At 50.0% G+C, this 15160-nt stretch overlaps 1 protein-coding gene across 5 annotated transcripts in view, besides 5 other annotated features; it reads right to left on the bottom strand.

Moving 5' to 3' along the window:
- The window catches only part of ZGPAT (zinc finger CCCH-type and G-patch domain containing), a 28701-nt gene that overhangs the window by 563 nt on the left and 12978 nt on the right, over positions 1-15160 (bottom strand). For 3 of the 5 annotated variants that reach the window (NM_001083113.2, NM_001195653.2, NM_181485.3), the window contains exons 3-6: positions 2228-2361; positions 1841-1993; positions 756-875; positions 16-421 (exon numbers count right to left, since the gene is read on the bottom strand). In NM_001083113.2, coding sequence (NP_001076582.1) covers positions 16-421; positions 756-875; positions 1841-1993; positions 2228-2361 — 813 coding nt within the window. Of the gene's footprint in view, positions 1-15; positions 422-755; positions 936-1840; positions 1994-2227; positions 2362-15160 lie in introns of all 5 variants that reach the window. The other 2 variants (NM_032527.5, NM_001195654.2) reach the window with 2 other exon arrangements.
- Positions 2688-3230: an enhancer, noted in NCBI's record as "H3K27ac-H3K4me1 hESC enhancer chr20:62363702-62364244 (GRCh37/hg19 assembly coordinates)". NCBI's record gives its function as "activates a minimal SCP1, AML or CMV promoter by ChIP-STARR-seq in naive and primed H9 embryonic stem cells {active_cell/tissue: H9 hESC(naive and primed)}" and the evidence as "EXISTENCE:reporter gene assay evidence [ECO:0000049][PMID:30033119]".
- Positions 3231-3774: an enhancer, noted in NCBI's record as "H3K27ac-H3K4me1 hESC enhancer chr20:62363158-62363701 (GRCh37/hg19 assembly coordinates)". NCBI's record gives its function as "activates a minimal SCP1, AML or CMV promoter by ChIP-STARR-seq in naive and primed H9 embryonic stem cells {active_cell/tissue: H9 hESC(naive and primed)}" and the evidence as "EXISTENCE:reporter gene assay evidence [ECO:0000049][PMID:30033119]".
- Positions 6472-6971: an enhancer, noted in NCBI's record as "H3K27ac hESC enhancer chr20:62359961-62360460 (GRCh37/hg19 assembly coordinates)". NCBI's record gives its function as "activates a minimal SCP1, AML or CMV promoter by ChIP-STARR-seq in primed H9 embryonic stem cells {active_cell/tissue: H9 hESC(primed)}" and the evidence as "EXISTENCE:reporter gene assay evidence [ECO:0000049][PMID:30033119]".
- Positions 6472-7126: a biological region, named in NCBI's record as "H3K27ac hESC enhancer GRCh37_chr20:62359961-62360460".
- Positions 6807-7126: an enhancer, noted in NCBI's record as "active region_18249". NCBI's record gives its function as "activates an Ori minimal core promoter by ATAC-STARR-seq in GM12878 lymphoblastoid cells {active_cell/tissue: GM12878}" and the evidence as "EXISTENCE:reporter gene assay evidence [ECO:0000049][PMID:35858748]".

The following is a 15160-nucleotide window of genomic DNA, read 5'->3' as shown; positions in this document are numbered from 1 at the left end:
GGGCCCCACACGTACCGGCCAGCGTTGCGGGCGAGAGCCTCCTGGATGCTCCTGATGTCCCGCTGGGTTCGCTCGATCTTCTCCTCAGTCTGGAAGAGCCGCAGGCTCAGGGCCCGCTTGGCACTCTTGCTGGCATGGTACATGTCCTTGCTCCTCCTCCCCGCTGGGGCCGCCCCGGCTTCTAGGGCCCCAGGAGCCTGACCTTGCAGCTTTTCATTGAGGAAGTCAAACACATTCCGAGGAGCTGGGCGGCCCCCAGGCCTGGCCCCTCTTCCCCGGCACCTGGGGGGCTTGTTGGTGCCAGCCTTGCCAACCCTGGTCTGCTTCTGCAGGGTCTCCACACACTGGTCCAGCGACTTCCCTCGAGGCAACACCACAGCATGGATGGGCTCCACCCGGCCTTCCGCGTGTCGGCCCAAACCTGCGGAGGCACGGGGATGGCAGTGCTGTGGCTGCGGGACCCCGGGAATCTGAGGAGCACGGGGATGGCAGTGCTGTGGCCACGGGACCCCGGGAATCTGAGGAGCACGGAGATGGCAGTGCTGTGGCCGTAGGACCCTGGGAATCTGAGGAGCACGGGGATGGCAGTGCTGTGGCCGCGGGACCCCGGGAATCTGAGGAGCACGGGGATGGCAGTGCTGTGGCTGCGGGACCCTGGGAACCCGATGGCTGCGGGACCCCGGGAACCTGATGGCTGCTGGACCTGGGCTATGCTGCAGCAGCCTGCCCACTTCTCCAGGGCAGCTTGTACTCACCCTTGCCAAACTCATAGCCCATCTTGGTGAGGAGTCTGGAGCCTATACCTCGCGTGTGCACCTCCCAGCCAGCAAAGGCAGAGCTGCAGGTCCCAGAGTCCACAGCATCTGACCCCACCACTGCAAGAGACGGACAGAGGGCAGAGGACTGTGCAGAGTCCACGGCGTCCGACCCCACCACTGCAAGAGATGGACAGAGGGCAGTGGCCCAGCCAGGCCAGAGGATTGTGCATGGTGACCCGGGCTTTGACCAATGAGCTCAGATCCTGGGCAGAGCCACGACACCCCACCTCTTGGGCTCCGTGCTCTCGTCACCGAGGCTGCTGTGGGCATGTGACACCAGGCAGAGTGCATGGCAGTCCCCACGGCCTGCTGCACCGTGGCCCCTCCTCCGCAGCCCTCTCCTGCCCCTGCCCTTCTCCACCTTCGCGAGGCTGTGAGCGCCTCACCTGCCCTCACAGAGTCCTTGGTTCAGTCCTCCTTCACCAGGGACATGGGGCTTCAGAAACCACCATCACTGATCCCTGGGTACACCTCCAACATGCAGACCCCTCCTGGACTCAGCCCGCCATGCTTGGGTCAGGTGACCTCCCACATATATACACACACACGCACACGCATACACACACCCCTCTGGAGAGCTGGACACTGCCCACCAGTTCCCATTCCCGAAACTTCCATGCTGGCTGTCTGGACACAACCTCTGTCTGCCAGGATCCCAGGCACCCAGGTCCCAAGTCTGAGAAGCCATGCAGAGGAGCTGCCCCTCCTGCACTCCAGGCCCCATCAGTTGGTCATTTTCTGTGACTTCCTCGGCAACTCCAGGCCCCTCCTCTCCCATGGCCACAGCCACGACCATGGCCTCCCATCAATGAGACTGTAGCTGTTGCACCCACACTCCTTGAAGATAAAGGCCGCCACGGATCTACCCCTACCCACACGGCCTCCTCAGGCACAGGTGGCACCCTCGCCGCAGTCACACACTCTCCAATAGTTTGGTTAGATGGTTGGTGCCCTCACCGGCCAGGAGCCTCTCAGGGTGACCCCACCTTCCTGGCTCCTGGGCTCCGCAGCTGCTGCCATACCTCTGGCATAGCTGGAGTCACCCGTACCGTCGCTGTCTGAGTCGGACTCTGTGGCCTCTGTGCGCAGTGGGGGCAGGATGCCGTCCCCCTCCACCACGGCCTCCCTCAGCAGCAGCGAGTCAAACTTGACTGTGTAGTAGCCGTTGTCCACATCTGGGGGCAGAGACAAGCTGCAGGTCAGAATCCTTGACAGCAGGTGCCACTGAAGGGAACCACCCTGGACATGAGGAGCAAGGCAGGGCAGAGGCTGAGGGTAGGTGTGCTCATTTCGGGCCCAGAGCCAGAGTCCCGACACTCAACCCAAAGGAAGCAGGGAGCAGCCACACAGTGACAACACACGTGGGGCCTGGGAGGGTGTTCCCGGGAGGCCCCCACGGCCAGCCTCACCGGTGATGCGTGCTGCGTGCCAGAGGCCATCCTGGTGCTTGGCCAGACACGCAGAGCCGGCCTGCAGGGAGCTCAGGTCTGGGTCCTGGAAGGGGCGCAGCTCATCCAGAGAGACCACCTGCCCATGGGAGAACCTGCAGACAGAGCCGTAAGGGGCAGGGCTCAGACATGGGCCACCAGGGGCAAACCAACCCAGGAGCACTGACCCATCCGCCTGGGCACTGTCCTGAGGGAGACAGACACACACGCGTGCGTATACATACACACTCTCACACACTCACGCACACACATACACACGCACACATACACACACACATGCACACACTCACGCACACATACACACATGCACATATACACACGCACATACAGATACACATGCACACATACACTCACACATACACATATATACACACTTGTGCATATACATGCAGGCATATACACACACATGCATATACACACGTACACATACACGCATACGCACACGCGCATATACACATGTACACACACATGCACTCACACAGGCACACACAAGTACACATACACACGCATAAACATGCACTCACATGCATACACACACGCATATACATACGTACACAGGCATACACACACATATACAGACATACACATATACACATACACAAGTACACATGTATACACATGCATACACACATGCACACAGGCATATACACATGTACACACACATTAACACATGTACTCACACGTCATACACATACACAGAGACCCTGACACGCGTATAAACATGCACTCACACATGAACTCATGCAAATACAGATGCAGTCATACATGGATATACGCACACGCCATCTCACCCACACGCGCGCACACGTGCCCTCACCCACACACATACGCCCTCACCCACACACATGCGCACACAAGCACCCTTACCTACACACATGCGCACACATCTCTCACCCACACACACGCACACACAGGCCCTCACCCACACACATGCGCGCACACACACCCTGACACATGCACACACACACCTCACCCACACACGTGCACACACATGCCCCCTCACCCACACACATGCACACACACACGCCCTCACCCACACACATGCGACCTCTCATCCACACACACGTGCACGCACACATGCACCCGCACCCAAACATGCACACACAGATGCACCCGCACCCACACATGCACACACATATGCAGTCACCCACACGCGCACACACATGCACCCTCACGTGTAGACTGTCACGTGCACTCACTCATATATGCATATACACATACATGCACACACATGGCATGCATATACACACATGCATATACACACTCACACTTGCATACACACGTAGTCTCTTGGTATCCATGGGAAACCCCCTGTGCAAACCAAAATCCAAGGATGCTCAAGTCCCTTATATATAATGACATAGTGTTTGCATATAACCTACGCACATCTTCCCACGTACTTTAAATCATCCCTAGATTACTTGCAGTACCTAATACGATGTAAATGCTATGTAAATAGTTGTTATACAGTGTACAGACGCAGCCATCCTTTTCTTCCCCAATTATTTTCAACTCGAGATTGGTTGAAATGATGGATATGGAACCTGCAGATACCAAGGGCCAACTGTACACTTTACACACGTATGCACACACAATCTCACACACACAAAGGGCCAACTGTACTTTACACACATATGCACACACAATCACACACAGGGCCAACTGTACACTTTACACACATATGCACAATCACACACACACCAAGGGCCAACTGTACACTTTACACATGTATGCACATGCACACATACACACACCAAGGGCCAACTGTACACTTTACACACGTATGCACACAATCACACACACACCAAGGGCCAATTGTACACTTTACACACGTATGCACATGCACACATACACACCAAGGACCAACTGTACACTTTACACACGTATGCACATGCACACATACACACACACCAAGGGCCAACTGTACACTTTACACACGTATGCACATACACAATCTCACACACACAAGGGCCAACTGTACACTTTACACATGTATGCACATGCACACACACACACAGTCTCACACACATCACACACACAGACACCCGCATTCTCTCTCGGGATGGACTTGGCTGCTCCAGAATATGCCCCGTGTGTCCCATCGCCTCTGCTGGAGTCACAGTGTGGCAGCAGCCTTCTGACAGCAGCTCCCACAGCCTCACTACTGCACAGGCCACAGCACCAGTGCATCAAGGCAGATGTGCTGGGGGTGTGTATGTGCATGACTGAGTCCTCCCCCAAACTAGGAGAACCTGCTTATGAAATAGTGATGCCTTGACTTTTAGGCATCAGTGAACCAGTAAAATTAAAACCAAAACCGAGACACACACACACACACACACAGAGAGAGAGAGAGAGAGAGAGAGAGAGAGAGAGAGAGAGAGAGAGAGAATGAAGAGGAAATGTGGGGACAGACAGAACTGCAATCTTCAACTTTGCCAAATAAAGACATGAAAAACCAACCGCCATCCACTGCTGCCATGCCATCGTTTCAAAAAGGAAGTTCTTTCAACCCCACAAAAGCAACTGAGGGGCCAGGTGCAGCGGCTCACGCCTGTAATCCCAGCACTTTGGGAGGCCGAGACGGGTGGATCACGAGGTCAGGAGTTCGAGACTAGCTTGGCCAACATGGAGAAACCCGTCTCTACTAAAAATACAAAAATTAGCCGGGTGTGGTGGCGCGTGCCTATAGTCCCACCTACTCGGGAGGCTGAGGCACAAGAATCGCTTGAACCCGGGAGGCGGAGGTTGCAGTGAGCAGAGATTGTGTCACTGCACTCCAGCCTGGAAGACAGAGTGAGACTGTCTCAAAAAAACAAAAAAGGAGCAACTGAGGACAGGCCTTCAGCCCGTGACATGGAGCCAAGGCTGTCTTTCCAGTAGGAACGGGTGGGTGGAGCAGAGTGAGGTGGAACAGGGATTTTGTCTCATGCGTAGACAAAGGTGGCCTCGTACACCTCCCCAGGCCAGGATTTTGGGCGGTTCCTTCTAGTGCCTACTGTTCTTAGGCACACAGGGCCCTGCCAATGACCGGGGGCGCCAGGGGCTACAGGACTGTGCCTCAAATGCACTGCAGCAGAGACTGGCTGAAAGGAGACTGAGAACATGTTCAAAAAGAGAGGGTTAAACCCAGAGTGAATTCGATTAAATACGCCCCTTCAGCACACCCACACCATCATTAGTAAAACCTCTTCTAGAATATTTGACAATATTAAAAGCCTTGAAATTTGTAAACTCTTTAACCCAGAAAGTGCTTCTATTATTTTGTGTGTGTGTGTGTGTGTGTGTGTGTGCGCAGTAGAGTCTTGCTCTCTTGCCCAGGCTGAAGTGCATGGTAGGATCACAGCTCACTGCAACCTTGACCTCCTGGGCTCAAGCAATCCTCTTGCCTCAGCCTCCCAAGTGGCTGGGACTATGGGAGTGTGCCACCATGCCAGCTAATTTTTGAATCTTTTTGTTGAGCCAAGGTCTTGTCATGTTGGCCAGGCTGGTCTTGAACTCCTGGGCTCATGTAATCCTTCCGCCTCAGTGACATGATTTTTAAGGAGAATGTATGTAAAGATTTGGCCACAAAGATATTAACCAAATATGAAAAACTTGGAAATAACCTAAATTTCTAACCATGGAGAGAAGTTAATGGCATATCCATGAAGTTAACTGAAAACCAAGAGAACAGGCAAATCGATCAATGGAGCAAAAGAGAGCCTCCAGGAAGAGCCCCCCCTCACACAGAAAGCCTCGTGTGGCAGAGGAAGCATCACAGATGGGGTGCAAGGAGAAAGACGATGGATTTCACAAGAGAAAATTAAAAACTGGGTTTTCATACATAAAAGATCCCAACCCAATCACCTACCTCACAGCATTGACAGAAATACATTCCAGAATTAGTAAAGACTTAACCCTGAAAACAAACAACATCTAAAACTAAAAGAAGCTTCTGAGTTCCAGCCACACTCAAGTAGAGAGGTCGTTGAATCGAATATGGGCCGGGAGCGGTGGCTCACGCCTGTAATCCCAGCACTTTGGGAGGCTGAGGTAGGCGGATCACTTGAGGTCAGGAGTTTGAGACCAGCCTGGCCAACGTGGTGAAACCCCACCTCTACCAAAAATTTAAAAATGAGCCGGTGTGATGGCGTGCGCCTATAATTATGCTACTCGGGAGGCCGAGGCAGGAGAATCGCTTGAACCCAAAAGGCAGAGGTTGCAGTGAGCCAAGATCGCACCACTGCACTTCAGCCTGGGTGACGAAGTGAGACTCCATCTCAAAAAAAAAAAAAAAGAAAAAAAGAAAAAATAATCTAAAACTAGACAAAATTATCAAAACTCACTGATTTAGAACTTTTCAGAGTTCTGGAAACTGACCAAAGCTGAGAACTCACTGAGAAGAGATTCTTCTTGAAAAATGTTGGGCCTTGGGCCAGAATACTGGGAAGTCTACAGCCTTTGCACCTGGGGCTGCCCCTGGCTCCTACTCCTGAGTCAGCAAATCTGAGTGATTTACCAGGTCAAGGCTGGCTGCAAAAACCAGCAGCAGCAGAGGTGGATGTGGGACAGAAGGGAAAACCCAGGCCTCGTAGTTAAAAGTGGTGACTCGATAAACACTTACAAAGAAAACTGACAGCCCTGATCATTTGGGGCTGTGATCCCAGCTGGAGTGAGCACTGGGCCAGCCAGATACTTAACAGGAAGACTCTGAAAATGAGAGCCACAGAAGGGCTCAGCTCTCCCAGGAAGGGCCTGGCTCTTGAGGAAACCACTGCAGGTGTTGGGAGCTCCAAGAGAGGCCAGGGTGAAGTGAAAGCAAAGAGAGAGGGGCTGGCTGAACTCACAACGTGCTCTGAAACCACATGGTGTGGTGGGGAGCCTTTTGGGTTAGGAGTGTTTGAGCACACCCTCTTGCCCAAATCCCTGGCTGACCACTACCATATGCAAACACAGAAGCAACTGCTAGGAAGCCAGACTAAAAAATAGAATTTAAGGCCGTGCGTGGTGGCTCACACCTGTAATCCGAGCACTTTGAGAGGCCGAGGTGGGCGGATCACAAGGTCAGGAGATCGAGACCATCCTGGCTAACACGGTTAAACCTCATCTCCACTAAAAAAACAAAAAATTAGCCAGGCATGGTGGCACACATCTGTAATCCCAGCTACTTGGGAGGCTGAGGCAGGAGAATTGCTTGAACTCAGGAGGTGGAGGTTGCAGTGAGCTGAGATGGCACCACTGGCACTCCAGCCTAGGCAATACAGCAAGACTCCATCTCAAAAAAAAAAAAAAAAGAATTTAAAAATCTGAGCAGAGATATCAGAGGCTGCAGGGGTGGGTGGGCAAGTTTTGCAGTTTAAGTCCAAACAACTTAACTAAAACAAACAGAACACAAGACTCAGGAAAACAACTCAGAATCCAGACATAGATCATCTGAAATGTCCAGTATTCAACAAAAAAAATTATAAGACAGGTAAACAGGAAACCATGATCCATATTTAGGAAAAAAAGCAGTTGATATAATCTGACTCTGAGTGGGCCCAGATGTTGAGTTTAGCAAAGACTTCAAAGCAGCTACTATAAGTATGTTCAAATAATTAAATGAAAATATGATGGCAATGATTCAGGAAATAGAGAATCCTTTTTTTTTTTTTTTTTTTTTGAGACCGAGTCCCACTCTCTCACCCAGGCTGGAGTGCAGTGGCATGATCTCAGCTCAATGCACCTCCACCTCCCAAGTTCAAGCAATTCTCAGGCCTCAGTCTCTGGAGTAGCTGGGACTACAGGTGTGAGCTACTACGCCCAGCTAACTTTTATATTTTTAGTAGAGATGGGGTTTCACCATGTGCCTCACCTGAGGTCAAACGTTCAAAACCAGCCTGACCAATATTGAGAAACCCCGTCTCTACTAAAAATACAAAAATTAGCCAGGCGTGGTGTCATGAGCCTGTACTCCCTGCTACTTGGGAGGCTAAAACAGGAGAACTGCTTGAACCCAGAAGGCAGAGGGTTGCAGTGAGCCGAGATGGCACCACTGCACTCCAGCCTGGGCAACAGAGGCAGACTCTGTCTAAAAAAAAAAAGAAAAAAAGAAAAAAAAAAATCAAATGGAAATTCCAGAGTTAAAAAGGACAATCACTGAAAGGACATTTTTAGTGAATGTAGTGGGGAGGGCAGGATGAACAGGTAAAGTACAGAGAATGAGGTTGTGAAGCTTCTCTGTCTGATACCACAATAGTAGATGCCTGTCATTATACATGTGTCAAAGTCCATAGAATGTACACCACCAAGAGTTAGCCCTAATGTAAACTATGGACCTTGGGTGACAATGATGGGTCTGTGTAGGTTTATGGATTGTAATAAACGTACCAGTCTGGTGAGGGAGCATGATGGTGTTGTGGGGAGGGGCTGTTGCATGTGTGGGGGTCTGGAGTATATGTGAAATCTCTGTATCCTCCACCCAATTTTGTTGTGAACCTAAAACTACTCTAAAAACTAAAGCCATGGTCAGGAGCAGTGGCTCATGCCTGTAATCCCTGGACTTTGGGAGGCCGAGGTGGGCAGATCACCTGAAGTCAGGAGTTCAAGACCAGCCTGGCCAACATGGTGAAATCCTGTCTCTACTAAAACTACAAAAATTATTTAGCCAGGTGTGGTGGAGGGTGCCTGCAGTCCCAGCTACTGGGGAGGCTGAGGCATAAGAATCGCTTGAGCCTGGGAGGCGGAGGTTGCAGTGAGCCGAGATTGCACCATTGCACTTCAGCCTGGGCGACAGAGCAAGACTCCATCTCAAAAACAAACAAACAAACAAACAAAAAGCCTATTAAAAAAAAATTCAAGGCCGGGCTCATGCCTGTAATCCCAGCACTTTGAGAGGCCTAGGCGGGCGGATCACCTGAGGTCAGGGGTTTAAGACCAGCCTGGCCAACATGGTGAAACCCTGTCTCTACTAAAAATACAAAAAAATTAGCTGGGCGTGGTGGCGGGCGCCTATCATCTCAGCTACTTGGGAGGGTGAGGCAGGAGAATCACTTGAACCTGAGAGGTGGAGGTTGCAGTGAGCCAAGATCGCGCCATTGCACTCCAGCCTGGGCGACACAGTGAGACTCCGACTCAAAAAAAAAAAATTAATTAGATGTACTCAACGGCAGATTTGAGATGGCAGAAGAAAAAAATTCATTAAAAATTATCCTGGCCGGGTGCAGTGGCTCACGACTGTAATCCTAGTACTTTGGGAGGCTGAGGCAGGTGGTTCACCTGAGGTCCGGAGTTCAACACCAGCCTTGCCAACATGGTGAAACCTCGTCTCTACTATAAATACAAAAATTAGCTGGGCATGGTGGTGGCACACTCCGGTAGTCCCAACTACTCAGGAGGCTGAGGCAGGAGAATTGCTTGAACCTCGAAGGTGGTGGAGGTTGCAGTGAGCCGAAATCGCGCCACTGCACTCCAGCCTCAGCAACAAAAGCAAAACTCCGTCTCAAAAAATTAAAAAATAAATAAATAAATAAATAAATAATCCAGTTTGAGGAATAAGGAGAAAAAAGGTTGGAAAAAAAAAAAAAAAGCTTTAGAGAACGCACACCAACATACATGCAGTGGTACTCCCAAAAGGAGATGAGAGAGGGGCAGGAAAAAAATTTGTTGAAATGATGAGTAAAAACTCTCCAAATTTGGTAAAACAAAACAAAACATTAATCTATGAATCTAAGAGGCTTACTGAAGCCCAAATACGATGCACACCAAGAGATCCACACCTAGATACATCACAAACTACTAAAGGCCAAAGACAAAGAGAAAATCTTGAAAACATCAAGAGAAAAAAAGATAATTCTTCAAGTACAAAGGGACAATTTGACAGATGACTTCTCATCAGAAACAATGGAACCCAGAAGGTAGCATGATGACACTTTTAAACACTGAAAAGAATGATCAATTAATAATTCTATAGCCAGCTAAACTATCCTTCAAAAAATGAAGCTGAAATAAAGACATTCCCAAATAAACACTGAATTGGTTGCTAGCAAGCCTGTCCTACAAGAAATTCTAGCCGGGCGCGGTGGCTCACGCCTGTAATCCCAGCACTTTGGGAGGCCAAGGCGGGCGGATCACGAGGTCAGGAGATCAAGACCATCCTGGCTAACACGGTGAAACCCCATCTCTCCTAAAAATACAAAAAATTAGGTGGGCGTGGTGGCAGGCGCCTGTAATCCCAGCTACTCGGGAGGCTGAGGCAGGAGAATGGCGTGAACCCGGGAGGCGGAGCTCGCAGTGAGCCGAGATCGTGCCACTGCACTCCAGCCTGGGAAACAAGAGCGAGACCCCATCTCAAAAAAAAAAAAAAAAAGAAATTCTAAATGGGCTGGGCGTGGTGGCTCATGGTAATCCCAGCATTTTGGGAGGCCAGGACAGGCAGATCATGAGGTCATGAATTCGAGACCAGCCTGGCCAACATAGTGAAACCCTGTCTCTACTAAAAATACCAAAAAAATTGGCTGGGGGTGGTGGCAGGTGCCTGCAGTCTCAGCTACTTGGGAGGCTGAGGCAGGAAAATCACTCTAACCAGGGAGGCAGAGGTTGCAGTGATCTGAGACTGCACCATTGCACTCCAGCCTGGGCAACACAGTGAGACTTTGTCTCAAAAAAAAAAAAAAAAAATTCTAAATGAAGTTCTTCAGACTAAAAGGAAATGACACTAGACAGTAACTCAAATTCACAGGAAAGAAAAAGGGGCAAAAAAAAGAAAGGTAAAATATGGATGATACAAAAAAACAAGTATACTTTTTTTCTCTTTGAATTTCTTTCTTTTTTAAATAGAGATGGAGTCTCGCTATGTTGCCCAGGCTGGTGTTGAACTCCTGGCCTCAAGTGATCCTCCTGCCTTGGCCTCCCAAGGCTTTGGGATTACAGGCATGAACCACAGTGTCCAGATCTTAATTTCTTTTCTTTTCTTTTTTTTTTTTTTTTTAGGCAGAGTCTCGCTCTGTCATCTAGGCTGTAATGCAGTGGTGCGATCTTGCTCACTGCAACCTCCGCTTCCCAGGTTCAAGCGATTCTCTTGCCTCAGCCTCCCGAGTAGCTGGGATTACAGACACCCACCACCACACCCGGCTACTTTTTGTATTTTTAGTAGAGACGGGGTTTCACCATGTTGGCCAGGCTGGTCTTAAACTCCTGACCTCCGGTGATCCACTCACCTCAGCCTCCCAAAGTGCTGGGATTAGAGATAAAAGCCACCATTCCTAGTCCCTTTACTTCTGAGATAAGATCTGCACCCAGGCTGGAGTGCAGTGGCACAATCTCAGCTCACTGCAGCCTTGACTTCCCAGGCTCAAGTGATCCTCCCACCTTAGCTGGGATCCTCCCCCAAATAGCTGGGACTACAGGCGCGTGCCACCATGCCAGACTAATTTTTTGTAATTTTGGTGGAGATGGGTTTCGTCATGTTGCCCAGGCTGGTCTCCAACTCCCTGGCTCAGGCGATCTGCCCACCTCAGCCCCCAAAAGTGCTGGAGTTAAAGGCATAAGCCACTGCCTCCAGGCAACTTCTTTCAAAATACTTTTGAAGCAATAATTATAACGCTGAAGAGCTGAAGTTATAACATACATAAATGTATATATGGCAATAATACATGAAGGAGAAGAGGGGATGGAGCTATGTCAGAGGAGAAGGGAGGATGGAGCTATGTCAGAGGACAAGGGAGGATGGAACTATGTCAGAGGAGAAGGGAGGATGGAGCTATGTCAGAGGAGAAGGGAGGATGGAGCTATGTCAGAGGAGAAGGGAGGATGGAGCTATGTCAGAGGAGAAGGGAGGATGGAGCTATGTCAGAGGAGAAGGGAGGATGGAGCTATGTCAGAGGAGAAGGGAGGATGGAGCTATGCCAGAGGAGAAGGGAGGATGGAGCTGTGTCATAGGAGAAGGGAGGATGGAGCTGTGTCATAGGAGAAGGGAGGATGGAGCTGTGTCATAGGAGAAGGGAGGATGGAGCTGTGTCATAGGAGAAGGGAGGATGGAGCTGTGTCATAGGAGAAGGGAGGATGGAGCTATGCCAGAGGAGAAGGGAGGATGGAGCTGTGTCAGAGGAGAAGGGAGGATGGAGCTATGACACAGGAGAAGGGAGGATGGAGCTATGTCAGAGGAGAAGGGAGGATGGAGCTGTGTCATAGGAGAAGGGAGGATGGAGCTATGTCAGAGGAGAAGGGAGGATGGAGCTGTGTCATAGGAGAAGGGAGGATGGAGCTATGCCAGAGGAGAAGGGAGGACGTCATAGGAGGAGGGAGGATGGAACTATGTCAGAGGAAAAGGGAGGTTGGGACTGTGCTATAGGAAAATGGAGGGGGAACTATGTCATAGTACAACGGAAGTAGATCTATGTTATAGACACGTTGCCATACTTAGGCTCAGTGCAGTCGCTCACACCTGTAATCCCAGCACTTTGGGAGGCCAAGATGGGCGGATCACCTGAGGTCAGCAGTTCGAGACCAGCCTGACCAACATGGTGAAACCTCATCTCTACTAAAAATACAAAATTAGCCGGGTGTGGTGGGGGTGCCTGTAGTCCCAGCTACTCAGGAGGCTGAGGCAGGAGAATGGCGTGAACCTGGGAGGCGGAGGTTGCAGTGAGCCGAGATCACACCATTGCACTCCAGCCTGGGTGACAGAGTGAAACTCCATAAAAAAAAAAATGCTGTACTTTAAGTGTTAAGTTAGTAATAATCTGAAGTACATTGTGGTAAGTTAAAGATGTACATTGTCATCTCTAGAGCAACCACTAAGAAAATAACTTAAAACAGCATAGCTAAAAATTCAGCAACAGAGCTGGATATCACCAAAATGATGGAGTTGGCAGCTCCAAAGATCCGTCTCTCCAGCAAAGCAACTATTCTGCTGTCAAAACTGTCACAATAAACTTTTTTCTATTCAGCTGTCAAAACTGTCACAATAAACTTTTTTCTATTAAACTGTCAAAACCTCCCAATAAACTTTTCTGTAACTCTGGTGTCTACGAACCAGATGACTGCTCAATGAAGTAAGACCCTGCTAAATTTCAGGAGGACAGCTGGGCTATTTCTGCTCAGCCACTACTACCAGCTCACATGTAGCCATGGGGAAGGCAACCTGTATTTCTGATGTGGCTTGCTGGTGTCAGAAGGGATGATACAGACCTTTTCTCAAGGAATCCTGCTTATGCATTTGGATCTTTCTAGTGTCTCCCTGAAGGGCTTGCCTTTGTTTCACCCCCTCGAACTCTCTCAGGGCTGGGGCAGCCTCCAGGGTCGTGCTGTTGATGGCATTTTTTTTTTTTTTTTTTCCCCGAGATGGAGTCTCACTCTGTCGCCCAGGCTGGAGTGCAATGGCACGATCTCAGCTCACTGCAACCTCCGCCTCCCAGGCTCAAGCAATTCTCCTGCTTCAGCCTCCCGAGTAGCTGAGATTACAGGCACCCACCACGCCCAGCTAATTTTTGTATTTTTACTAGAGACGGGGCTTCACCATGTTGGCCAGGCTGGTCTCGAACTCCTGACCTCAAGCAATTCACCCGCCTCGGCCTCCCAAAGTGCTGGGATAACAGGTATGAGCCACCGCGCCTGGCCTGAAGGCATTTACAGGTAGATACTACCTGAAGTTGTGGGGGAGGGACAACAACAGATGGGCAAAGAGCTGACAGAAAAGCCTAGGAAGGAAGAGGCTGGGAAAAGAGCTACATGAAGGTCTAAGGGCTTTGGAAAGCTCCTGTTCATGCTTGGAAATCCAGAAGGCCATGCACACAGCTGGGGCTAGACAGGGGCTCAGAAACACCTGAGGAGGCCCTCAACTTTCACCTCTGGTTCATCCTTAGGCTCCATGGGAGCAAGAAGTAAAGGCTGAGGAAAAGCCGTGAACAGCCTGGCGGACACTGAAGGACTTGCCCCAGTACAGAGGCAACCTGGAAAGGATGGAAGACACTCTTTATCCTTTTTTTTTTTTTTTTTATTTGAGACAGAGTCTCGCTCTGTTGCCCAGGCTGGAGTGCAATGGCGCAATCTCAGCTCACTGCAACCTCCGCCCCCTGGGTTGAAGCGATTCTCCTGCCTCAGTCTTCCCAGTAGCTGGGACTACAGGCAGGTGCCACCATGCCCGGTTAATTTTTGTATTTTTAGTAGAGACAGGGTTTCACCATACTGGCCAGGCTGATCTTAAACTCCTGACCTCAAGTGATCCACCCGCCTCCACTTCCCAAAGTCCTAGCATTACAGGCGTGAGCCACTGCGCCCGGCCTCTTTATCCTTTTTGCCACTAGATATTTAAAGAAATCTCTTTCAAAGCACAAGCTAACCACTAACCTAAAAGAACAGAAACAAGCACCCCTGACAGAATATAATCTTTATTTAAAAAGGTCAGGAAAGTAACTAAACAAACGAGAAACGACAATCCACAACAAACAGCAACAATGAACCCTGCAGAGGGCGGAGGATCTGATTTTCAAAGTAACCACATTATCATCTTCAAATTGTGCAGGTTTCAACAAAAAATTACAAGGCATGCAAAGAAACAAGAAAGTGTGGCCCATTCACCGGAAATAAAGAAATTAACAGGCCGGGTGCGGTGGCTCACACCTGTAATCTCAACACCTTGGGAGGCCAAGGTGGGATGACTGCTTGAGCCCAGGAGTTCAAGACCAGTCAGAGAAATGTAGCAAGACCCTGTGTCTAAAACAGTAACAACACAACCAGCCAGGCATGGTGGCACATGCTTGTAGTTCTAGCTACTCAGGAGACTAAGGTGGGAGACTCACTTAAGCCTGGACGGTTAAGGCTGCAGTGTGCCAGGGTTGTGCCACTGCACTACAGCCTGGGTGAGAGAGGGAGACTTTGTCTCAAAAAATAAAAAATAGGCTGGGCGCGGTGGCTCACACCTGTAATTCCAGC

Source organism: Homo sapiens, chromosome 20 (assembly GCF_000001405.40).
Source record: "Homo sapiens chromosome 20, GRCh38.p14 Primary Assembly".
NCBI lineage: Eukaryota > Metazoa > Chordata > Mammalia > Primates > Hominidae > Homo > Homo sapiens.
The sequence above is the reverse complement of the archived record's forward strand: the minus strand, read 5'-3'. Positions and strand labels throughout refer to the sequence as shown.